Below are 26,434 nucleotides of genomic sequence, written 5' to 3' on the forward strand. Positions count from 1 at the left end.
AAAAATTTTTTTTTTATTTTCGGTGTGGAGTGGTAACTCATGCCTATAATTCCAGCACTATGGGAGGCCGTCAAGGAAAGATCGCTTGAGTCCAGGAGTTTGAACCAACTTGGGCACCATAGTGAGACCCCATCCCTATAAAAAATACTAAATAAAAAATTAAATTTTTTTCAAAAATTTTAGTTGCTTCCCCCAACACAGTGCACACTATTTTAGGTACAGCAATTGATCAGAGAGGCAAGACAGCTTGTCCAGGGTCTGTCAGTTCTTCATTGGCAGAGTTGGAATCAGACCCTCCCTGTCATGAGGCCAAGGTGCCTTCTGAAAAATTCACTCCCAGCAAACACATGATTTCCTGGGAGAGGTGGTTATAGCTTAGTATACTGGATCCAGATAGAAAATAGGTGTTCTGTGCTCACAGTGGAAAAGCAACAAAAATGGTAATGAAGGTTGAATGATCATCAGTAGAAAGAAACTTTTTTTAAAAAATGGATAATGGACAATGCTCTATCCTCATATATTTCTGTAACAAAGAATTAAGGAATTCAAAGTTTTAAGGAGAAAAGTTTGTCACCCTGTATTTTCTATAGCTTGGGCAAATTGACAGACGTGCTACAAAATGGAAGCAGTTAAACAACATCCAATCCAGACCATTGCCACTCAGAGTTCCTCATCCCCTGGTTGCTTGTTAGAAATGCAGATTCTTGGGCCCCTTCCAGGCCTACTGAATCAATTGAACAGGAACCCCAGTTGATTTGCATGCACATTAAATCTGAGGGGCTTGCTGCTCTACATAGATACCTTTCTCTGCCATTGTTTCGTCCATTGCAGATAATGTCTTACGAGTCTATGAAAATCAAACACATGAGCAGGTCATGTTGTGAGCTGCAGAAGACAAATTTGACAACAAAGCAACATTTGCTATCTTTTTTAACTAAGTTTAATTTTAACTTAATCTAGTAACTTCTTTTGAATAGGTTTTTGGGAGGATTTGTGGTCCTACAAGAGGAGAGGGAAGATAATGGGGAAAAAGAAGTCAGCAGGAAGGAAAAGGAGGGTATTTTCCCCAATGGCGCAGACCAATCATATGACACCCTTAATGTGTTATCAAATTTCTACAGGGGTCAGATGTGAAGCCCATTACCTGACATGCCCGCTGGGTGGTCTGGACTTTGAACAATGGCTCCTCCCATCTGGAACCCTCTGCTATTTTGCAAACGTTTCAATGGCTCTGCTGAAAGCCAGGAAACAACAGCTGGTGAATAATCTCATTTTATATTAATAGAGCAGCACTGACCTATCCAGGTCCCTTAATACTTCACGAAACAGAACATCCTTTCTTTCCCAGGGCAAGGAAGGGAAGTCTCAGCCATACCACATTACAGCATGAGTAGGGGCCCTGAAGAAGAATGAACAGAAAGAGTTTTTTCTTGCAAACCCACCTCACTGGACTTTTTCAGATGAGGATTAAGTTAAGCTAAAGGAGATGGAAGAGAATATCTGCATTAAATCCCTGGACTTTACCTATGCAAAGAAATAACCAGAAAGTAAGAAGATTCTTGCCCCAGCCTTGCCTCTGTCTTCTGTATGTGCAGCTCTTTCTGTGAAATCAAGGTAGAGATGTCCAAGTTAAGTGACAATCTGAAAGATAAATATGGACTATTTTTAATACCAGGGCTAGCTGGTGGATTAATGTTAGTGGAGTCAAATAAAACAGAATGTGACAACACCACCAGTTAATGAGTGTTTGTGTCTGTGCCGGTAGCATTTTTAACGCTGTAGAGAATTGCAAAGGAATAAGGTATAATCTGTGATTTCAAGGAACTTCATTTTGCTGGAGGATTTCTTCAACACAAATGACTAGAAGCAAGGATGTAAAATATAAACTGAAAGATACATATCTTAGCCAATTATACCATCACTGACACATACAGAAAAGGAAGATTAAAATGTTTTGATTAAGCAACATTTCTAGAGATTCTGTCAAAACTTAAACAAACAAACAAAAAATCCTGGAAAACAGTAATCCTTTCTTTAACATTTACAAAAGTTCAATTGGGTATTCCTGCTCCAATTTTCTCAGTGTGGAATAGATGGAAAGTTGCTAGAAGGGAGTGGTTACATGCCACCAGAGTAAGCAAGCTGGACCAGGCATAGAAACTAGCTGATGAGAGGTAGGGAGAATGGCAGAAACTTCTTAAAACAGTAGTTCCTAACCTTTGCCTTTTGTCTGGGTCAAGGACTCTGTGATGGTTAATTTTATGTCTCACTTTGGCTAAGTGATAGTGCCCAGATGTATATGGTCAAACCTTATTGTGGACATTTCTGTGAGGGTGTTTTTGGGTGAGACTAACTTTTCAATTGGTGGACTCTGAGTATAGCAGATGGCCCTCCCTGATATGGGTGGGTCTCATTGACTCCACTGAGGGCCTGAAAAGAACAAAAGACTGACTCCCCCTGAGCAAGAGGGGATTCTCTGGCCTGACGACCTTCAGACCTTAACTGAAGCCTTGGCTCCTCCTGGTCTCCAGCCTGCCAGCCCACCCTGCAGGTTTGAGACTTGCCAGCCTCCACAGTCATGAGCCAATTCTTTAAAATAAATCTCTTTATAGACACATCCTATTAGTTCTGTTTCTCTGGAGAACACTGACTAACACAGACCCTTTTGTGAGTTTTTAGAAGGAATATTTATTGAATGTCTTCTATGTGCCTAATTATGGACTCTGATCCCAGAAAATTGCACATGAACACAAAATTTTACTTACGGTTTCCAGGGAATCACCAAACCCTTGAAGCACATCCATGGACTCCCTCCCTTCATTTAAAAACTCCTGGGCCTCCAGCCTTTTATATAAAGGAGACGTGGCTGAATATTTCCCCATCCAAATATTCCTGCTCTGAAAGCAGTTACCACCTGGTGGGTGAAGTAAGGAGTCTACCTGCCCACAGCTACAAAAGGACCAGGAAGGCGTCCGGCCACATAACTCTCTCTCCCTCACCTCTCTGGGAGGCCAGGAATTTCTACGTTAGCATCAGCACTCTGGGGTGGACGTTTGTTCACTTAACTAGAATAAGGCATTGTTACTACCCATGGTATGGCTGAGCCTAGCTGGTTGTTCTTAAGCTTAAACATCAGCACTGCCTTCCTTGACATTCTCCTTATCTCCTCGTCCTTGCTGATGGACTGTGAGTGAAGGTGATGTGTGTCACCTCCAGTCAGAGGCCATGCAGATGGGGATGCCTTTCATGACCTTTCCCCGCTTTCACCAGACTCAGTGAAGGACTTCTCTGAGGTATTGACAGAGGCCTCAGATGGCCAAGGGGCCAGATCCTCTTTCTCCTGCACTCCACACTGGATTGTGACACAAGCAAAAGATCATCCTTTATTTATGTTACTTATGTTAAATGACTGAGATCTGGACCTTGTTTGTTAGCTTATCCTGACTAATGCATACAGGAATTTTACCATTATGAGAAAGACAGTAAAAATATTAGACAAATACCAACTTAAAAATTCTAATATGATCTAGGCTGGGTGCAGTGGCTCACGCCTGTAATCCCAGGACTTTGGGAGGCCAAGGCGGGTGGATCACGAGGTCAGGAGTTCGAGACCAGCCTGGCCAACATGCTGAAAGCCCGTTTCTACTAAAAATACAAAAAATTAGCCGGGCATGGTAGCACGCACCTGTACTCCCAGCTAATCGGGAGGCTAAGGCAGGAGAATCACTTGAACCCAGGAGGCGGAGGTTGCAGTGAGCCAAGATCGCACCACTGCACTCCAGCCTGGGTGACAGAGCAAGACTCTGTCTCAAAAAAAAAAAAAAGATTCTAATATGACCTAAGCCATTATTACCCATTGACCTTAGCAGAGACTAAAGCCTGGGTCCTGAGGAAGTAGCTATGTTTAGGACTAAGAACTCCAAACTCAGAGACCGCAGGAGAAGACTAGGCTTCTGCTGGAGGCAGTCATGCTGCACAAGTCCAGGAGGCTCCATTCACCCAGATTCTGTAGTTCCCTGGAGTTGTACAGTGCACTGCCTGCACAACTGTACAAAGTAGCCCTGCTACTGGTAGTGGCAAAGCAGCACAAAAGAGGCAGGAAGAAATAAAAGAGAGAGAGGAAGGGTGACATGGGAGCCTGCTATGCCTCTCTCATGACCTCATCACCCAGTCAAGTGCTGGCCCTGCTCATTGCTGAGATACCTGAAAAGTCCACCCACACCTCAGCTAATCAGATTCTAGGACCAGCCTTGGTTTGGGGGCCTTTTTGTCTATGAAAAGAAGCATATCTCCCCTGAACTAGTTCTTGAGGGTCTACCTTAAATTATTGGTTACTAAAGGAAAAATAGTACAAAGGGTAACCTGTATGTTGGCCCTGCAGTTAGAAAATAGGGATTATTATTCCCATTTGTCACAGAAAACCTTTCTTTCTTCTTTCTTTCTTTTTTTCTTTCTTTCCTTCCTTCCTTCCTTCTTCCATTCCTTTCCTTTCCTTTCCTTTCCTTTCCTTTCCTTTCCTTTCCTTTCCTTTCCTTCTCTCTTTCTTTCTTTCTTTCTTTTTTTTGACAGAGTCTGGCCTTGTCGCCCAGGCTGAAGTGCAGTGGTGCGATCTTGGCTCACTGCAACCTCCACCTCCCGGGTTCAAGAGATTCTCTTGCCTCAGCCTCCCGAATAGCTGGGATTACAGGTGCCTGCCACCACACTCGGCTAATTTTTTTTTTTTTTTTGTATTTTTGGTAGAGACGGGGTTAAATCATGTTGCCCAGGCTAATCTCGAACTCCTGAGCTTAAGTGATCCGCCCACCTCAGCCTCCCAAAGTGCTGGGATTACAGGCGTGAGCCACCATGCCCAGCCACCCTCACACCCACTTTTAAAACACTTTATATTATAGAACACTTCAAAGATATACAAAATAGGTAAAATAATGTAATGGACCATCATTAGGCTTCAACAATTATCAACGTGTGGAAATTCCATTTCATCTATTTCTCTCTAACCCTTATTCTCTCCCCTATTTTCTACCACTTTTCTGGATTATTTTGAGATGCATCCCAGACTTCATATCATTTCATTCATACATATTTTAGTATGTAGCTCCAAAAAAAAAAGGATTCTGTTTTTTTAAAAAGCATAACCATGACGTCCTTATCACACCTAAGAAACTTCGTTAATATTGACAAATATTCAGAGTTCAAATGTCTCCAATTTTCTCATAATTTTTTTCTACAATTTGTTTAAATTAGTATTCAAACATGATTCACACCTGCAGTTGGCTAATATGTCTACTGGCTCTCTTTTCAGTAACAAGCTGCCCTGTCTTCTTTTCTTTTCTTTTCTTTTTTTTCTTCCAATTTATTTGTTGGAGAAACTGGGCCATTTGTCCTGTTGAGTTTCCCACATTCTGAATTTTGCTGATTGCATCCCTGTGGTGTCATTCCACCTGTTTCCCTAAGCCCTGTATTTCCTGAAAAGTGTCTGCTAGATCTACAGCCTTGAACAATTCCAGCTTGATATTTTGACAAGGTTATTTCATAGGTGGTGTTGCGAGCTTTTGCATCTCATCAGGGGCACATGTCTGCTTCCCTCCCATTTTTGTAATGTTAAGATTAATTAGAGGATTCGGGTATTGCCAGCTTAGTCCATCCATTAGAGAGTTCCCCATCAGCATTTCCCCTAATAGTTTTAACAGCCATTGATGACCAGTGCTTGGATACATTATTTCTATGATTGCAAAATTATGGTATTCTAATTCTATCATTCCTCCTTCATCTATTAGCTGAAATGCTTCTAAAAGAAGACCTTTCCCTCAACAACAATTTAGTTACCCTGAAATACAGTTCATATACAAAAGACAAATGCTCAATTCTTTCCCTTTTTAAATCAGTTTTCAGAGTAATGAGTTGGTTCCCTAGCAACCCGTAAAGGTGACCTATGAGAATTTTTTTTCTGGTATAATTATAAACTCATGGATTTTAACATATTTGATGTATTTCAATCCAGTGTGGATGCTTGAATTATTCCATCTTTGAACAGTGAGTTTCTTTCTATTGGTTCCTAACCTAAGCATTTAGGACACAACCAAGTCATCTCTGAAAGCTTCGTTACTTTCCAGCATGTCAAAATGTCTATTTCTTTTCTTTTCTTTCTTTTTGAGAGAGAGAGACAGAGAGTCTCCCTCTGTCATCCAGGCTGGAGTGCAGTGACACAATCTCAGCTCACTGCAACCTCCGCCTCCTGGGCAGAAGCAATCCTCCTGCCTTAGCCTCCCAAGTAGCTGGGACTATAGGCACTTACCACCATGCCCAGCTAATTTTTGCAGTTCTTTTTTTTTTTTTTTTGAGACGGAGTCTCCCTCTGTTGCCCAGGCTGGAGTGCAGTGGTGCAGTCTCGGCTCACTGCAAGCTTGGGCTCACTGCAAGCTCCGCCTCCCAGTTTCACACCATTCTCCTGCCTCAGCCTCCCGAGTAGCTGGGACTACAGGCGCCCACCACCATGACCGGCTAATTTTTTTGTATTTTTAGTAGAAACGGGGTTTCACGGTGTTAGCCAGGATGGTCTCAATCTCCTGACCTCGTGATCCGCCCGCCTCGGCCTCCCAGTGCAGTTCTTTTTTTGTAGAGACAGGGTTTCGCCACGTTTCCCAGGCCGGTCTCAAACTCTGGGGCTCAAGCAATCCGCCTACCTTAGCCTCCCAGTGTTTTGATTATGGGCGTGAGCCACCAGGCCCGGCCCAAAATGTCCGTTTCTTGCCTCAGCTCTGGAATCAGTGATTATCCAAGGACGCCCTGGTTCCCTTTAGTGACAAATTGGATTTAGAAACCACAGTCACAGAGCTGGCCACCTCCCTACCTAGGAGCCCTCTCCCTCAGGTCCCTCACATCTTCATTTGATCCTACTTTTTTTCCCCAATCCTTGACTGTCCCAGCTTTTCCACAAGGGAACAAAAGATTAATAGCTAAAGGAAACTCATGATATAGTCATGTGTCACCTAATAACAGAGATGTGTTCTGAGATATGCATCATTAGGAGTTTTCGTCATTGTATGAACCCCGTCATGTTCTCACACAAACCTAGATTGTACAGCATGCTGCATGCCTAGGCTAATGCTATAACCTATCCCTCCTAGGTCACAAACCTGTACAGCATATTACTGTACTGAATATTGTAGGCAATTGTAGCACAATCGTACGTGTATGTCTATCTAAACATATCTAAATATAGAAAAGGTGGCTGGGTGCAGTGGCTCATGCCTGTAATCCCAGCACTTTGGGAGGCCGAGACGGGCGGATCACAAGGTCAAGAAATCAAGACCAGCCTGGCCAACATGGTGAAACCCGTCTCTACTAAAAATACAAAAATTAGCTGGGCGTGATGGCATGCGCCTGTAGTCCCAGCTACTAGGGAGGCTGAGGCAGGAGGATCACTTGAACCCAGGAGGCAGAGGTTGCAGTGAGCTGAGATTGCACCACTGCACTCCAGCCTGGGTAACAAGAGCAAAATTCCGAAAAAAAAATTAATTTAAAAAACCGAAAGAAAGAAAAGGTACGGTAAAAATTCAGTGTTATAATTTCATGAGATCACTCTCCTATATGCGGTCCATCATTGACTGAAATGTCTTTATGAGGTGCACGACTGTAACTGAAAACAGTTATCACCTTGATACAGGTGAAGATTGAGACAAATCTCTTCTTTAGTGGAACGTGTCTAATTCCCTCACATGAATAGCCTACACTCTTTCCCTTGGTTATAAGGGCTCCAAAACTACTGAGTCCCCAAAACCAAGGAGGTAGGGGGTTGAGGGACATTTACCTTTGCCTAATGAAGGTTTTTTTTTTTTTTTGAGACGGAGTCTTGCTCTGTCGCCCAGGCTAGAGTGCAGTGGCGCGATCTTGGCTCACTGCAAGCTCTGCCTCCCGGGTTCATGCCATTCTCCTGCCTCAGCCTCCCAAGTAGCTGGGATTACAGGCTCCCGCCACCATGCCTGGCTAATTTTTTAAATATTTTTAGTAGAGACGGGGTTTCACCGTGTTAGCCAGGATGGTCTCGGTCTCCTGACCACGTGATCTGCCCGCCTTGGCCTCCCAAAGTGCTGGGATTACAGGCGTGAGCCACTGCGCCCGGCCTGAAGTTTTATATATAATACAAGGAGAGCGCATCCTTTCTCTACAGGTGTCTTTTGCACTCTGGTAATCAAACAGTTGTTTGATTGTATGGTTTCTCATCAAGCATTTTTACCCTTCAAGTTTTATCTATAAGTCTAGTGTAAGACTGGGGGATATTTCTAAGTTGTGGTTTGATGAGTCCCTGACTTCAAACCCAACTGGTACATCACAAAATAACAATGCTCTGTAGTCACCAAAATCTTTAGATCTACCTGAATGGATGTGGACCTATCTCCTAGATAGATTAGGTGGAAAACAGTATTTATTACATTATCATTTGTGTAAAAGGGAAAAAGAGCTTGAATATGCACAGAACATGTTTGAATCTATAACAGATTGGTATAGAGATAGAAAGGAGACTCACATTTCACCATATACCTTTTGGTTGTAGTTTTGGCATTTTAATAATGTGCACGAATCATCTATTCAAAAAATTTATTTTAAAAAACCTGAAGAAAGCACTTTAGTAGAGAATCAATACTGTCTGATTGATTGATTGATCGGCCTCAGCTTTCCAAGGAGTTATTGTAGATGGAAAGTGAAGAAGGGTATGCTTTTACAGGAGTATATTTATGTCTTAGGGAAGGCTTGAAAGCCAGAGGGGATGACGATAAAGAGAGTTTGAACAGATACCCAGAAACAACTGCACTTGAAAGAACTTGTGAAATGCTTAAGTTCTCTGACACTTAGAGAATTATACCCTAGCTGTGATACCATTATGAGATGTGAGAGTGTGCTTGTTTAGAAAGCACCGGAACTTGACTTCAGGTTCTGGAGCCAGCCAAAGAGTCTCCTCTCTCTGTCTGGAAGGGTTGTGTCAAATTCATGCACATTCTCAACAATGACTGTCTTTTTCTAATGGGGGATGGGGAGAAAGGGCAAATATTCAAAGCCAGGCAAAGGTGGGGGCGGAGTCAGGAGGCTTTTGGACTTTGACACCTTATCTCTGTTTTTGCCATCTTACTGGGGAGTGGGGAACAGAGAAGAGCTTGGTTTATTCTCAGGGAAATGTCTGGAGACTGCCCCATGGCCTCAGGTCACCCTGAATTTAGGATTTAGTTCTAATAAAATTTTATTCTGGGATGCAACCTCCCTCTAGTTGTTAAGACTTCTGGTTGTCCAGTCTAGAATCCATATGAAAGCCAAGCTTACCATATTAAAGCCAAGCTTACCAATGACTTCCAATAAAAAGAGCTTAGAATGGAAGAAAAGAGATAAAGAGAAAAAGAGAAAGATGATCTTTAGTTAAAGCCAAATCACTGATCACTTATGGCAGGCCCTTCACTTTATCTCTCCTTTCATCCACCTTCCCTATCAACAGCACTTCTAGTGAGGTGGCATTTTGGAGTGGGAAAGACCTAGGTTTGAATCCCAGCTCTGCCATATTAGTGGAATAACCTCGGGCAAATTACATAAATGCTCTGAACCAATGTCCTCTTTGGTAATGTGGGACACTGGTGGCTACTTTAGTCTTAAGTTAGGATCAAGTGAGAGCATTTATACAATACAATAAGCATTTTTTGAGTGCCTATCATGTGATAGTGAGATAGAAGACCAGCAGAACTTGCTTTCTGGTCACAATCCCGCTGACCAAAACAGAATCTAGTCCAGACAAGATAAAGTGAAGAGCCTGGCCAAAACCAGCAGATGGTGACAAAAGCAATCCCTAGCTGCCCTCATTGCTCATTAGCATAAGACACTCCCACCAGTGCCGTGACAAGTTACAAATGCCATGCCAACAACCCCGAAGTTACCACCCTTTTCTCTGGCAATGCCCCAGAAGTCACTGACTCTTTCCTAGAAAGCTTTAAATAACCCACCCCTCAATTTGCATTAACCCTCCCCTTAATTTTTCAAATAGTTGAAAGTGAATATAAGTGAGTATAAGTACAGTTGCTGACAGCCCATACCTTGCTGATTCTAGGCGCACTGCCTGTGAGTTAGCCCTGCTCCACAAGAAGCAGTACTGTTCAGGAAAAGGTTGCTGTCTAAAACCACTGGCTTGCCCTTGAATTCTTTCCTGGGCAAAGCCAAGAACCCTTCTGGGCTAAGCCTCAATCTTGGGGCTCACCTGTTCTGCATCATCTGGTGGCCACAAAGGGATGAAGATAGTGAGTGGGAGGAAGTGACCAATGTGGCGTCGAGACAGCAGAAATGGCAGTCATCAGCGGCAAGATGGCAAGACAATAGCAATTAGCAAAGAGGCCAAATGATAAGAAATACTTGAGAGATGGAGAAATGGTGAGACAGCAAGATGGCAAGACAGTGACCAGTGAGATGGTGAGAGGCGGCAATCAGAGAGAGGTGGTGATGTGGCAGTCAGTCAGTGCTGTAAGGATCAAAGCTGCAGAGAGCTGGAACACTAACCAAAGGTTCTTTTCAGGACCATCATCTTTCCTGGCAGATGGTTGAGCTGAGTGGATAGGTGAGTAGCCATAGTGCAGGGATTCAAAGCTCTGGCTGGGAGGCTGCAGGATCACATGCCAATTCCCTCGCAGCAACCAAGCCTGCCCAAGCCGGGGAAACCTGGGGAGCAAACCTTCACCTGCACTGTACATCAGAGACCAGTTGGCCCTATTTTGGCTCCTGTGGACAGGTAAGTATCCCTTTTGACTCATCCCCCAAATATCAGGTGAGCCAGGAAAATAAGGCCTTTGGCTTAGACAGTCAATTCAAAGTCTGCCATAGCATCCCTAATTACATCCCTATTGCCCCTTTTCTAGGTCGTTTCTCCTCTAACACGATTTTATTTTTCTGTCAGCCATTTTATTTTATTTCTCACCTTGAAATATATGTTTTCTTTGCAGTTTTTGCTTTGGCTTCCTGCTAACTCTATTTGGGCAATTGTTTAAGGCTGAACACTTGGTTATGAGAGGTACCCTGTTGTGTTGACCCTGGGATGCCAGAGTCATGTTGTTCTGTGGCCCCAACTTGGTCTTTGGCCGCCCCCTGGATGCTCTGGGATTTTTGGCATTGGGTGTGGGGACTCTCATTGGCCACTACTCGGTTACTGTGGGTTTTCAGCATTTGGTATTGTTGGCCGCCCCAGGCACTCCCGGGTTTTTGGCATTGGCATTCACTAGGATTGTGGGGTAGGAGCCTACCTAAGGGGAATCTTGGTCTTGCCTTTTCTCATTTTCTACCCTAAAGTTATCGTTTCCCATAACAGCATTTCCTTTTGTTATTGCCACTTTATTTACACTTTTCCCACTATAACTTGCTTAATGAAAATACTTCTTTTGTCACATTTCATTCACTTTATAAGCCACTTTCATAACACGTTGCTACCTATACTTACTCCTTCTCTGCAGGAAGTGGAAATTGGAAAGGAAAATAGAAAGGGCCCCGTTGCTTTCCCTCTCACTAGACTCAGAAGAACTTCTATGTCCAGTAGAAATCATCGTTAGACATGGAGACAATGATAAGCATACCTGAGGACTCACCGTTAGGATGCCTTTCAGGCTATTGGAGCAAATTCAATTTTGGCTTAAAGAAAAAGAAACTCATTTCCTATTGCAACACCACTTGGGTCCAATACAAATGAGAAGACCAAGACATTTAGCCTAAACATGGTTCTATGCATTATAATGCTATTTTACAATTAACATTAAAAAGAAGGAAAATGGGACGAGGTCCCTTATGTACAGGCTTTTATGGCCCTTTACTGACTCAATGTTACTTCAAGGCACCAGGAAGCCACGCCTAAGGGATCCCCTCCTAGCTGCTTCTCTTAGAAGGCCTACTCCCTCCCCAGAGCCTCCTCAGTCTCCCAATTTGGAGGGGTTCCTGCCAGTTCTCTAACACAGGACTCCACCCAAGGTCATCAGGCACTCCTCCCTGTTATTCAGCTAGCCCCAGCCTAAACCCTCTGCTGTCGGAAAAAGTAGCCCAACCAGTATCCCTAGAAATGGGGCTCCATATCAGCCCCTGAAGTCAAAGCTGTGTCCATTGTGGGAGGTAGTTGATGGAGATGGGGGGACACTTAGAATACACATGCCATTTTCTATGTCTGATTTGGCTCTATGCAAGGAAAAATTCTGCCAGTTTTCAGAGAATTCATTAAAGTTTATAGAAGAGTTTGTTAAATTGACCATGTTCTTTAGCTTGGTATGACTTGCAAGCATTGTTGCCCACTTGCTATGCCATAGAGAAAAAGCAGAGGAAAGTGTGTGGCTAAGCCTCTCAGTTATGAAAAGGTTAGAGATGTAATTCAGGGTAAAGATGAAAATCTCACTCTTTCTGGGTAGTTTGGTGGAGGAACTCAAGAAATATACTAATACAGACTCAGACTGCCTGGAAGGGCAAGCTCTCCTGGGTAGGCATTTTATTATTCAATTTGCTCTGACATTAGGAGGAAGCTACACAAAGTAGCAGTGAGACCTCAATCCGCTATGAACCAAGCCTTAAACATGGCCTTTAAAATTTATAACAATAGAGACAGGGCAAAAATGGAAAAGACCAAAAGAAATAACCAAAAAGAACAATTATTGGTGATGCTGTAAGCACCCTTCAACCTCAGGGTTACCCATCCCCAGAAAGTGTCTCGACATTGGTGTCTGGGATACCTAGACAAGAGCCCCAACTTGCTAGCCCCCAGGACAGAATCAGTATGCCTACTATAAGCAAAAGGGTAATCAGCAATAAGAATGTCTTAATCATCCCTCCTGAGATGAAAAAGCTCCCTGTCCATGTTAGAACTAACCTTCTTCCACTAGCCCCAACAAGCTGCCTTGCTCAAGTAAGCCAGAGCTTTGAAACCCTGCGCTATGGCTGCTCATCTATCCACTCAGCTCCACCATCTGCCAGGAAAGATGATGGTCCTGAAAAGAACCTTTGGATCAAATCCCGGACCCTTGATCCAATGGTTAGCTTCCCACAGTGGCAGACAAGTAGCCACCCAAACATTCTTCTTCCGTGTCTCTGCTGCTGGGTGACCTCTCTAGCAGCTCAGGGACTCTGAGGTCTCCCCTTTAGCAATGGGCTTTGCCCCTTCCTTTCCTTATTTGATGCTACAAGATCCCCTTCCCTGCCTCTTCCTGTCTTCCATACCTATTGGAGCAAACGATATTTGGCCAGGTAGACAGGTCCCAATTTTGTAAATAACAGATCCAGCTGTCTTGTATAGGTCACTTCATTTGTGTGATGTGTGTTGTGTCTAGCATGCTATCAAATTGGTTCATAGGCTGGGCACAGTGGCTCAGGCCTGTAATCCCAGCATTTTAGGAGGCTGAGGCAGGTGGATTACCTCAGATCAGGAGTTCGAGACCAGCCTGGCCAACATGGTGAAACCTCACCTCTACTAAAAGCACGGAAATTAGCTGGGTGTGGTGGCGTGCACCTGTAATCCCAGCTACTCTGGAGGCTGAGGCAGGAGAATCACTTGAACCTGGGAGGCAGAGGTTCCAGTGAGCAGAGATCATCCCGTTGCACTCCAGCCTGGGGAACAAGAGTGAAACTCCATCTCGGAAACAAAAATAAGACAAAACAAAACAAAACAAAACCAAAACATTGGCTTATAAATAAAAGAGCACTCATAAATTAAACAAATAGGACTAAATTTGTTAGTTTGAAGGGAATATTGTGACTTCTAAAATTTAACTTTAAGCTTTTTACTTAGATAAAATACTAATTTTCATAGGCTTTAGAATGGTTAAAATGGCTTTAAATGTTGAACTTTTTGTGTAGTTTAAAATCTTAAGATTGGCTGGGCATGGTGGCTAACACCTGTAATCCCAGCACTTTGGGAGGCCAACGCAGGCAGATTGCTTGAGCAGGAGTTTGAGACCAGCCTGAGTAACATGATGAAATCCCATCTCTACAAAAAATACAAAAATTAGCTGGATATGGTGGCATGCACCTGTAATCCCAGATACTTGGGAGGCTGACATGGGAGGATCGCTTGAGCCCAGGAAGTGGAGATTGCAGTGAGCTGAGACTGTACCACTCCACCCCAGCCTGGGTGACAGTGAGACCCTGTCTCAAAATCAATCAATCAATCAATCAATCAATCAATCAATCAATCTTAAAATTATAGAGTGGTTCTCATCTATAGAATGTCAATATCTGATAGTTCAGGATTCTTTGCTTTCTAAATTTATATATAATGTACCAGGGAAGATATATATTCTTTATTGTGAAAAAGAATAACTTGTTCAATTCAGAAATTATTAAAAGGGAGGTTCAAAATATAAAGGAATCTGCGAATAAAAAAGAGAGATATGTGGTGAGTTATGGATAGAAGACTTTTTTTTTTTGGTGGGGTGGAATATATATATTTTTAAATGATCTTGTGTAACGAGAAATCTTGTGTGGTAGATTCTTGTACTAGAATAAAGTCACTGGTGTTTGGGAGGGAGGTGACGTAGGATGGGTCAGAGGGTCCAGACATGTCATGGACGGTCTGTGTGGGCTGTGAGGGGCTCATGAAGGGGAATTTGTGAGGGGAGTTAAGTGTTTGACTAAGCTGGCTATGATTGATGGGAAATTGTTTGTGGTAGACTTTCTAGAAAATGATCTATGTGCCAAGCGCAGTGGCTGACACCTGTAATGCCAGTACTTTGGGAGGCCAAGGTGGGCAGATCACCTGAGGTCAGGAGTTCCAGACCAGCCTGGCCAATATGGTGAAACCCCGTATCTACTAAAAACACAAAAATTAGCTGGGCGTGGTGGTGTGAGCCTGTAATCCCAGCTACTCGGGAGACTGAGGAGGAGAATCGCTTGAACCAGGAAGGCAGAGGTTCGAGCAGTGAGCCAAGATCGTGCCATTGCACTCCAGCCTGTGTGACAAGAGTAAGACTCTGTCTCAAGAAAAGGAAAAGAAAAAAAAAAAAAAAAGCCTATGTGTTGAAACTGGGTTTTCTTTAGGTGTTCATTTGCTAAATTACCAGAACTTTTGCTTTTCCATTCTGTGATATATTTCTTTTGAAAGCTTTTCAAATTTGTGTAACTCTCTCCTTCAGCTTTTTCATCAGCTCCTGTGACTTTTTCTCCTGCAGTTCTGACAGTTGCTGTGATCTGATGCTAAAGTGTTTTCTTAGAGGTCTGCGGGACCAGTGTTTTTCCTGAATACAGCTTAATTCTATGCTCGTGGTTTTCCTTGAATATAACTTTATTTTTGGCTTTTAGTTTTTGACTCTCTTTTTCTTTTCTTTTTTTTTTTTTTTGAGACGGAGTCTCACTTTGTCACCAGGCTGGAGTACAGTGGCTTGATCTCGGCTCACTGCAATCTCTGACTCCCTGGTTCAAGCAATTCTCCTGCCTCAGCCTCCCGAGTAGCTGGGATTACATGCGCATGCCACCACGCCCGGCTAATTTTTGTATTTTTAGTAGAGATGGGGTTTCACCATGTTGATCAGGATGGTCTCAATCTCCTGACCTCGTGATCCACCCGCCTCGGCCTCCCAAAGTGCTGGGATTACAGGAGTGAACCACCACGCCTGGCCAGTTTTTGACTCTTATATTGCTTAAAAGGGCTTTGAGGGCTAATGAATACATGCCCACCTCCACTTCTATCTGGCCTAGAATGTTTAATTGGCTACAAGTCATTGGACTCTAAGTCTGCTGGCCAAAGAGAATCCCTCCCCCTGCCAAAAAAATGGAAAAAGTAACTCAGGCCATGACAGGAAACAGGGAGTCAGCTGCCTCACTATGCCTTTCCCTTGGAATTTAGGCCAGGTTCAAAAGGTCTTTAAAAATTTTGAAAATAAAGTATTGGCCTTTCCCACAGAGAAAAATAAATAGCTCCTCGGTTCAATCAGAAGACTTAGTGTTACTAAAAACTTCAAAAAAAGATCCCCTGATCATCAGTTAAAACCAAAATGGAAGGGCCCCTTCAGGTATTGATAAATACTGTCACTGCTGTTAAGCTTCAGAGAGTCACTAGCTGTGTACACCTGTCCAGGATTAAACCTGTGTCTTATGAGTTCCCCATGGGCATAAAAGGAGCACACCACAACCTACATTTATGAACCTAGAAACTTAAGGCTGTTGTTTTGCAAGCACATAGATAAATAACAGGATGCTGTGGGTGGGGGTAGGAGCATTAATTTTTCTCTTCCTCCTAATTGTAATTTTCTTGTTTAGCCTCCCTCGTAAACTTTGTATCTTCTAGATTCCACATAAAGATGATGCCAGCACAAGGCTTCCAACTCATCCGGTCTTTGGACCTGGAAAAGAAAAACATCCTGCCATTGGGCCTCTTAGGTCAGGTATCCAGAGACTTTTACACTGCCAATACTAGGCGGGGTCTATGCCCATAAAATCAGCAAGAAGTAGTTACAGAAGATGGACCTTCACCCCTCTGCAGCCCCCTTAAGATTAGGAGGCTTTGGCCAGACACAGTGGCTCATGCCTGTAATCCCAGCACTTTGGGAGGCTGAGGCAGGTGGATCAACTGAGGCCAGGAGTTCGAGACCAGCCTGGCCAAGATGGCAAAACCCCATCTCTACTAAAAGTACAAAAATCAGCCGGGTGTAGTGGTGCTCGCCTGTAATCCCAGCTACTTGGGAGGCTGAGGCAGGAGAATTGCTTGAACCCAGGAGGCAGAGGTTGCAGTGAGCCGAGATTGTACCACTGCACTCCAGCCTGGGCAACAAGAGCAAAACTCCATCTCAAAAAAAAAAAAAAAAAAAAAATCAGGAAGTGTATCTAATTTCTAAGGGGGAAGTGAGGTAGGAGACTGATAGGACTTGTTTTCTGGTCACAACCCTGCTGACGAAAATAGGATCTAGTTCAGACAGGATAATGTGAAGAAACTGGCCAAAACCAGCAGATGGCAACAAAAGTGCTCCCTACCTGCCCTCCTTGCTTATTAGTGTGAGACACTCCCACTAGTGCCATGACAGTTTATAAATACCATGGCAATGACCCAGAAGTTACCATCCCTTTCCAAGAAGTTCTAAATAACCCATCTCATTTTGCATTAACCTTTCCTTAATTTGCATATACTTAAAAGTGGGCATAAGTGAGTATAAATACAGTTTCCAAGTGCCCATATGTTGCTGACTCTGGGTGCACTGCCTATGAATTCGCCCTGCTCTGCAAGAAGCAGTACCATTCAATAAAAGATTGCTGTCTAACACCACCAGCTCATCTTTGAATTTTTTCCTGGGTGAGGTCAATAATTCTCCAAGGCTAAGCCCCAGTCTAGGGGCTGTTTGGTGGATCATTGAGCCCAGCAGTTTGACACCAGCATGGACCACATGGCGAAGCCCCATCTCTACAAAAAAAATACAAAAACTAGCCAAGTGTGGTGGTGCATGCCTGTAGTCCCAGCTACTTGGGAGGCTGAGGCAGGAGGATCACCTGACTACAGGAGGGTCGAAGCTGCAGTGAGCCATGATCGTGCCACTGCACTCCAGCCTGGGCGACGGAGTGAGATGCTGTCTCAAAAAAAAAAAAAAAAAAAAAAGTGGCCGGGCAGGGTGGCTCAAACCTGTAATCCCAGGACTTTGGGAGGCTGAGGCGGGCAGATCACCTGAGGTTAGGGTTCAAGACCAGCCTGGCCAACATGACTAAACCCCATCTCTACTAAAAGTACAAAAATTAGCCGGGCGTGGTAACATGTGCCTGTAATCTCAGCTATTCAGGAGGTTGAGGCAGGAGAATTGCTTGAACCCGGGTGGTGGAGGTTGCAGTGAGCCTATATCGTTTCATTGCACTCCAGCCTGGGCAACAAGAGCGAGACTCCATCTCAAAAACAAACAAAAAAAAAAAAAAAAAAAAAAAAAAAAAAAGGAAAAGAAAAAAATGGATAAGGGAATCCTTGTGCTAAAGGGTGTCAGAGACAATCTGAGAGGTAAATGCTACGCTATGGACTAACAGTAAGGGGAAAAGAAGATGGTAAATTTGCAGAGAAGATCAAGTTTGATCAGTTTCCTGGCCTGAAGGTAGGACAATGACAAAGGCTCATTTTAGGGGCTTCTGGTATACAAAGGTGTAGGGGCACTACAAAAAAGTCATTCTGACACTTGTTGAAATGCTATAAGGAAGACTTTATTTAAGACTATTGCAATAGGAGAGAGAGATCAGGCTCAACTCTGAACACAGCTTGGACAAATGGATACTTATAGTCAAGGAGCAGAGTGACGGGGTTGGTGGGTGAAAAATTACTAGGAGGAGACATCAAGGGTAGAGAGATTCTTGCTAAACTGAACTAGCAGGATTCTCACTGAAGGAAAGCCAAGGACTTAGACATCAAAGGTGGAGGATGAGGAACTTGCTCAGGTATCAGTGGTGATCAGACCACAAAATGGAGGGAATTCTCCCTAAACTGACTTAGCAATATTCTTGTTCATACTGGGCTAGGCAGGCCAAAGACAGGACAGGTGCCAAGGTCTTAGTGGAGTCTAAGTGGAGAAGAAGGCTCAGAGGAGCATGAGTCAGGTTTGGTCAAGGAGAGGGTCTTTGTTGGAGGGGGAAATTAAATGGTGTGGAGGGGAATTTTAGATGGTTCAACAAGGAGGCAATGTAGTGAGTGGCAGCATGGGAGAACTGAGGCTGGAGAAGTTCTCAGCCCATGCTGTTGCCCCTGTTTTGCCCCTTCCCTCCCTCTCTCCCACAGGAGCAGTTGACTGGCTGCCTCTTGCTGTGGTTCCTGTGAAAGGCGGCTTTAGTTTGGATCTTCAGTGGGGTAAGGGGCTCTTGTTCAGAATAGAGGCTTCCAAATATGCATGAACGGAAGTAACACAAGCAAAATGCATGGGACACAGTAGGTGTGCAATGCCTATGGGTCCTCTTCTCTTTCTCCCACTGCTCCCTTTTCAGTGATGGGCCCAGAAAAGCTATAGTTCTATACCCTGTACACATGCTCGTCTCTCACTTTGAGGAAGAACAATTCCCCCAAACACTTTTAAAAAAACAGTAACATCTAGCAATAAATTAACAACTGGCAATGAACTGTTTCCTGCAATTTAAATTGTTTCTGAATGCAGTGTCATTAGGTCCTGGCTGTAGGCTCTTAGGGACTGCACACCTGGAAGGCTGCTGGGCAGAAGTGTCATAACCCATACCCCCAGCTCTTCCTTCTCTCAAGTGTCACAATCGTTTTGAACTATTTGGAATTTCCACCTATTCCCCCAAATTGGCAGCCTCTCCTGACTTTTATAGCTTTTGAATTTTGTACAAAGTGCATGTGTTAACTATTTAAATTTTTATATTTTCAAAAAACGATGATCTCTGTTACAGCAGCTAAAGTGGATTTTCCCCACCCCAGTAACTCACCACATTTCCCTATTTTATCTTCTTAGTAGTACTTGCCAGCATATTGTTTTTATACTGTGCCCAGTCTCCCTCCACTAAACCATAATCTCCTCCAGCCAATACTCTGACTTGTTCTCTATGAAATCTCTAATATCTAGAGTATTTATTTTCCTTCCTTTTCTCTTCTCTTCTTTCTTTTTTTTCTGTTAGTATCTTATTTAGATTTGTAGATTGAGATGCCTTCATACAATGTTTTAGAGATTTTTAGTGGTTTTTTTCCTATAGCCTGAAAGAGTTTACATAACAGAAATTATCTATTCATAAAGCAATGCTACTCAAAATGTGTTCTGCAGGCACTAAAGTATAAATCAAACATACTATTTAGCTCGAATGTACTATTTAGCTGAGTTTTGTTTTTTGTTTTTTAGCAAAGACTTTGTTGATGAAGGAAGCAATATACTGATTTATGTTCCAGTGCAAGCTCCTTAACTTTTTGCGGGCTGGTAGCAAACAGTTCTGTAACCAGCTGAGTAGCACTGCGGTAAAGGGTAACAGAATACAGATACAAAACCACCAGAGACTGGTGCTTTTTCAACTGTTAGATTTAAATTGCCTTTCTAGTCTCTTCCGTGGGCATTGATCTGTTTAGATTTTCTTCCTTTACTTGGCTCAATTTTGCTAAGTTATATTTTACTAGAAAGCTATCAATTTCCTCTATTTTCAGATACATTTCTAGAGTTGCACAGAATAGTTTCTTTTAGTTCTCTTTATCTCTTCCATATCTGTTTTGGATCCTCAGGAGTAAATAGAGGAACATGCAGTAAAAAAAGATTGAGAAAAGATGCAAAAAGATTAGAGTGCAACCAGGAAAGGTCAGTATTATTCTAGTCACTGGAGATGCAAAAATATGCAAATTCTCGAGGGGCTTCATATTTTATCTCTTTTAATTATCCTGAAATAGTTTTATTATTAATTGCTTTTTGAAGAAGTAGATATTGCCTATTAAATTATCTACTTAGAGACTGGTCAGAGTTTCATGTTCTTTTTTTGTTACTTGTTTTGTTTCAAAATTTTTTATTTAATTATTTTTATTTTTATTTTACAGGTGCCCACCACCATGCCCAGCTAATTTTTGTATTTTTAGTAGAGACGGGGTTTCACCATATTGGTCAGACTGGTCTCAAACTCCTGACCACCAGGTGATCCACCCGCCTCAGCCTCCCAAAGTGCTGGGATTACAGGCGTGAGCCACTGCACCCAGCCTTCATTGTTATATGTTCATTATATCACTTATAATGTATTATGTTTATAACATATAATGTTTGTAAGTATTATTGATAGGTTTGGCTGTGTCCTCACCCAAATCTCATCTTGAACTGTAGGTCTCATAATTTCCACATGTCATGGGAGGGAGGGGGACTCAGTGGGAGGTAATTGAATCACGGGGGCGGGTTTTCCCATGCTGTTCTAGTGATAGTGAATAAGTCTCATAAGATCTGACGGTTTTACAAAGGGCAGTTCTCCTACACATGCTCTCTTGCCTGCCACCATGTAAGACGTGCCTTTGCTTCTCCTTCACCTTCCACCATGATTGTGAGGCCTCCCCAGCCATGTAGAACGGTGAGATTAAACCTCCTTTCTTTTATAAATTACCCAGTCTGGGGTATTTCTTCATAGCAGTGTGAGAACCGACTAATACAATTATGTTCTTGATGTTCATTCAAGTATAAAAAGTGCATCCCTTTGGGTTCTCATCCTATTTCTGCCACTGACTGCTAAGTGATCCTGGGCAAGTTCCTCAGGCTCTCTGAACCTTATAAGCTGCAAGATTGAGAGGTTGCTCTAGATAACAATAGCTAAAATTTATCAACTGCTTACTGTGTACTAAATACTGACCTAAGTGCTTTACATGAATAATTTCATTTAATCTCTATGAATTAGGTACTATTATTTCTTTCATTTTACAGATGAGGAAACTGAGGCCCAGAAAACTTGCTGATGTTTCCTGAAAAAATAGAATCTAAGTCAATGCTCTTGGGAGGTGCAATTCTAGGGATGTGGGAGTGAGGGGTAGGGGGAGTGAGGCAGGGAAGATGGGAAGCAAATGCAAGGCGATGAGTTTCCACACTGGCTACCACTTTACTGTGAGCCATGAAGCAGCACACCTGGTCTCATGGCAGGAATGGCTTCTTGGCCTTAGGGAACACTGGCTGCGTGGAAAAACCACACCTCAGAATGATCCATGGGAGAGGAAAGGGGAGAGGGAGTTTGCTGCCATCTCTCCCCTGTCTCTTGTCTCTACTGGCCCAAGTTTGTCCCATAGGGAGTCGAGAATGCCTTCCTCCTGGGTGGTGTCATGCAGCCTCTTTAGCAGGCGCTGGGGAAGTTAGTTCCCAGGCCTTGTGGGTTGGCTGTTCATCTGAGTCTGGAAGTGGTTGGAGGAGCCATAACCCCAGATAGGGAGCAGGTGTGTGGGCCACACACAGTAGCTGAGGCAAAACAGGCAGCTGAGGAGGCAGATAAGGCTGAGAGAAGTCTGATATTCATGGATGGGTGTGGTGAGTAGTCATTGAAATGCAGACAACTGGGCTGGGCATGGTGGCCCACACCTGTAATCCCAGCACTTTAGGAGGCCGAGGCAAGCGGATCACTTGAGGTCAAGAGTTCGCAACCAGCCTGGGCAACATGGTGAAACCTCATCTCTACTAAAAATGCAAAAATTAGCCTGGCATGGTGGCGTGCGCCTGTAATCCCACTACTCAGGAGGCTGAGGCAGGAAAATCACTTGAACCCAGGAGGAGGAGGCTGCAGTGAGCCAAGATCAAGCCACTGCCCTCCAGCCTGGGCAACAGAGCAAGGCTCCATCTCAAAAAAAAAAAAAAAAAAAAATTGCAGACAACTGGACTCTAGGGCCAGACCACTAGCAATATGCTGCACATCTCTGAGAGCCCTTAGGTATAGAAAAAATATTATTATTATTTTTTGAGACAGGATCTCACTTTGTTGCCCAGGCGGAGTGCAGTGGTACGATCACAGCTCACTGCAGCTTCGACCTCTGGGCTCAAGTGGACTACAGGCATGTACCAGCATGCCTGGCTGATCTTTTTAATTTTTTGTAGTGATGGAGTCTTGCTATATTTTCCAGGGTGGTCTCGAACTCCTGAGTTCAAGCGATCTTCCTGTCTCAGCCTTCCAAAGTGTTGGAATTACAGGTGTGAGTCACTGTGCCTGCCAGAAGAATGTTTATGGTCAGGTACATACAGGCCCAGTCCTTGTTTTCTCAGTGTTCAAGTCTTCAATAATAATATCCCCTCTGTTATCTTCCTAGTGAAATCCTATTCCTTTCTCAAATCCTATTTGGATAACAATTTATCTCCAAGCCTTTAAGACTCAATCACTCCATTCTCTCAATTGTTTTGGCACCTTGTGCATATTTCTCTTCTTGCATACATGATATTTATTGTAGCCTATATTAGAGCAGGCTGTATGTTTACTAACGGCAGGAACCCTATTGTGTTTTCAGATCCTGTAACCCATGTCTGCCTAGAGAGAGCCTTTGGTATGTGCCTGCAGAGCTGAATGATAGACAATTTTACATTTGTGGCCAGGTGCAGTGGTTTACGCTTATAATCCCAGCGCTTTGGGAGGCTGAGGTGGGCGGATCTCCTGAGGTCAGGAGTTTGAGACCAACCTGGCCGACATGACAAAACCCCATCTCTACTAAAAATACAAAGATTAGCCGGGTGTTGTTGTGGGAGCCTGTAATCCCAGCTACTGGGGAGGCTGAGGTGGGGAGAATCACTTGAACCCAGGAGGTGGAGGTTGCGGTGAGCTGAAATCACGTCACTGCACTCCTGCCTGAGTGACAGAGCGAGACTCTGTCTCAAAAAAAAAAAAAAAATTACATTTGTGTAGGTTTAAAAAAAAAAGTTTAAATTTTAGAACAGTTTTAGATTTACAGAAAAATTGCAAAGATAGCACAAAGAGTTCCTATGTGCTCTGCACCCAGTGCCCGTATGATTCGTATCTAACATTAGTATGGCACATTTGGCACAATTCATAAGCCAATATTTGTACATTATAATTAATTAAAGTCCACACTAAGTCAGGTTTTCTTGGTTTTTACCTAATGTCCTTTCTTCTGTTCCAGGATCCCACACTACATTTACTTGCCATGTCTCCTGAGACCCCTCTTGGCTGTGATGGTTTCTCAGACTTTCCTTCTGTTTAATGATCTTGATAGTTTTGAGTAATGCTGGTTAGGCATTTTGTAGGGTGTTCTTCAATTGTGATTTTTCTGATGTTCTTGTTCTGATTTGACTGGGGTTGATCTGGGGAGTAAGACCAGATAGTTAAAGTGCCACTGGGGTCACATCCTATCAAGGGTACGTACTGTCAATATCACTTACCATGATGATGTTGACCTTGATCACCTGGCTGAGGTAGTGTCTGTCAGGTTTCTCCACTGTAAAGTTGCTCATTTTCCCCCTTTCCATATTGTAGGCTTTGGAAGAAAGTCACTGTGTGCAGCCCACATTTTAGGAATGGTGGTTTATATTCTATTTCCTTTAGGGTGGAGTATCAACATACATTGTTTGGTATTCTTCTGCCCTGGGGATTCGTCTATCCTTTCCCATGTATTCAGCCATTTATTTATATCAGTATGGACTCATGGATATTTGCTTTATACTTTGGGTCATCATCTAGTACTGCTTCATTTTATTTTGTTTTAATTTTTGAGATGGAGTCTCGCTCTGTCACCCACGCTGGAGTGCAGTGGCACAATCTCGGCTCACTGCAACCTCTGCCTCCCAGGGTCAAGCGATTCTCCTGCCTCAACCTCCTGAGTAGCTGGGACTACAGGTGCATGCCACCATGCCTGGCTAATTTTTGTATTTTTAGAAGAGACAGGGTTTCGCCATGTTGGCCAGGCAGGTCTTGAACTCCTGACCTCAGGTAATCCACCCATCTTGGTCTCCCAAAGTGCGGGGATTACAGGCGTGAGTCACTGCACCCGGCCTAGTACTGCTTTATTTTGTTGCTCAAATGTTCCCAGCTCTGGCCATTGGGAGCTCTGTCAGTTGGTTTCTGTGTCCCTTTGGCATACCCCAATCATTGTGGGGGGGTTTGGGTTTGTTTGGGTTTTTTAACACTTTATTACTTTCTGGCACTAAAGATGTTCCAGGCTCACCTTGTGTATTTCCTGACCCAGTCCTAGAGTCAGCCATTTCTCCAATAAGACTTAGTTCCTTTTCGTGAAGAATGGTATTACAAACCAAGAGCTGGGCTCTAGGTGTGTCATTACCACTGGGGTGTCATTAATTCCAGGCCCTCTCAGCTGACAGAGCAGGAAAATATATGTGTGTGTAATAGTCAGGAAGGTTCCTTTAATCTTACAAAGCACACTTTGAAAAATTGGACCAATTTAGAGTTCTCTGGCTGCTCAGTCTCAATCTCTTTTGTTTTCCTTTTCCCAGTGCCTGTTCCTTTGTGCAAGTCCAGACCGGTTTGTCCTCGCATCCCTTCCTTGCCCTTCCTCTGCTCCACGGCCTCCTGCAGGGAGCTGATCCCTGACGTCTCCTAGGTTCCCAGGTCAGCTGGCTGCTGGCTGGACTCTGGCCAGGCCAGCGGTGCACCAGTTGGAGGTGGGGGCAGCACTTCCAGATGCAGCTCCAGGGCCTGCTGGACAGGCCCCCTGTGATTCTGCCTTCTTCTAGGCTGTAGTGACATCACCCCTGTCCTTTGTCCCTCCTGCCTGGAGGTGTCAATGACTTCTGACTGGGGTCTCCCTGCCCCTCATGGGCTTCTCAACTTCTTCTGTCACATATGTAACCATTTCTCTGAATAAATTCCCTTTGTTTAAAACAGTGCTACCTACTTCCCCGGTGGGCCTTGGACAGAACTGTCGGTAGGGAGTTTCATTAGGAAGGGACTCCAGGAATGGCAGTGGTGTCTGAGTAAAAGCAGGATGGAGGGAGAGTGAGTCCAAGGCAGTATTCTCAAGCCAGTCACTGCTGTGGGCCCTAGGAAGCCACCCCACTGGGGACTCTGAGTCACTGGGGAGAACAGCCCTCAGCATTGTCTGACAGCCCCAACTGCTCGAGACGTGCCCAAAGGTGAGGAACTCCCTAGTACTTCCAGGTTTTCACACAAATCTGAATGGCTCAATGGGACCCCACAGGGATCCCCAGGCCCCGATAGATGCTAGAGATTCGACAGGAGGCTGAGGGGAGGGATGGATGGGGTATCAGCCGAACCCACTGCCACAGCAATAACTGAAGTTTAAACAAAATGAAAAAGGATGGGCAGGGGGTGGGAGACAGGCCCAGAGGTGTCTGGGATGCTGAGCTCCCCTCTGCTGGGGCCTTTCTCATGGCTCTCTTTTCCTCTCAGTCTTCACTCTTTCTGAGCAATCTCTTACACACCCCGGGGTTTCAACAACTATCTACATGATATGGGAGGATCAGAGTTTGCTTTGTGCTTTAAAAATAAATCTATTGAAGCCCCTGACTGGCTTTACTTGCAGAAATTCCCTTTGCAGAAAAGAGAGGCTTCCAGACACTTTGCCTAACTAAATAAGAAAATGGACAGTTTATATAATAATTGAATTACATTAATGAGGTCATTCTCAGCAGGTATGTATGACAAGGCTGGGGAGCAAATGCAACCTTCTAGAAAAACCACAGTGGTGGTCATTTTAAGTGAAGAAACACATTCTTTGTTTTGTTTTGTTTCGTTTTTGAGACAGGGGTGGGTCTCACTATGTTGCTCAGGCTGGTCTCGAGCTCCTGAGCTCAAGCGATCCGCCCACCTCAGCCTCCCAAAATTCTGGGATTACAGGCGTGAGCTGCCATGCCTGGCCTAAGAAATACATTTTTTTTTTTTTTTTTTTGAGATGGAGTCTCACTCTGTCACCCAGGCTGGAGTGCAGTGGCGGGACCTCGGCTCACTGCAACTCTCGGGTTAAAGTGATTCTCCTGCCTCAGCCTTCTGAGTAGCTGGGACCACAGGCGCCTGCCAGCACGCCCGGCTAATTTTTTGTATTTTTAGTAGAGACGGGGTTTCACCATGT

General features: G+C 43.8%; 2 annotated features.

The window, feature by feature from the left end:
• Positions 323 to 824: an enhancer, noted in NCBI's record as "H3K4me1 hESC enhancer chr13:50386223-50386724 (GRCh37/hg19 assembly coordinates)". NCBI's record gives its function as "activates a minimal SCP1, AML or CMV promoter by ChIP-STARR-seq in naive H9 embryonic stem cells {active_cell/tissue: H9 hESC(naive)}" and the evidence as "EXISTENCE:reporter gene assay evidence [ECO:0000049][PMID:30033119]".
• Positions 24,454 to 25,080: an enhancer, noted in NCBI's record as "H3K4me1 hESC enhancer chr13:50410354-50410980 (GRCh37/hg19 assembly coordinates)". NCBI's record gives its function as "activates a minimal SCP1, AML or CMV promoter by ChIP-STARR-seq in primed H9 embryonic stem cells {active_cell/tissue: H9 hESC(primed)}" and the evidence as "EXISTENCE:reporter gene assay evidence [ECO:0000049][PMID:30033119]".

Source organism: Homo sapiens, chromosome 13 (assembly GCF_000001405.40).
Source record: "Homo sapiens chromosome 13, GRCh38.p14 Primary Assembly".
Taxonomy (NCBI): Eukaryota; Metazoa; Chordata; class Mammalia; order Primates; family Hominidae; genus Homo; species Homo sapiens.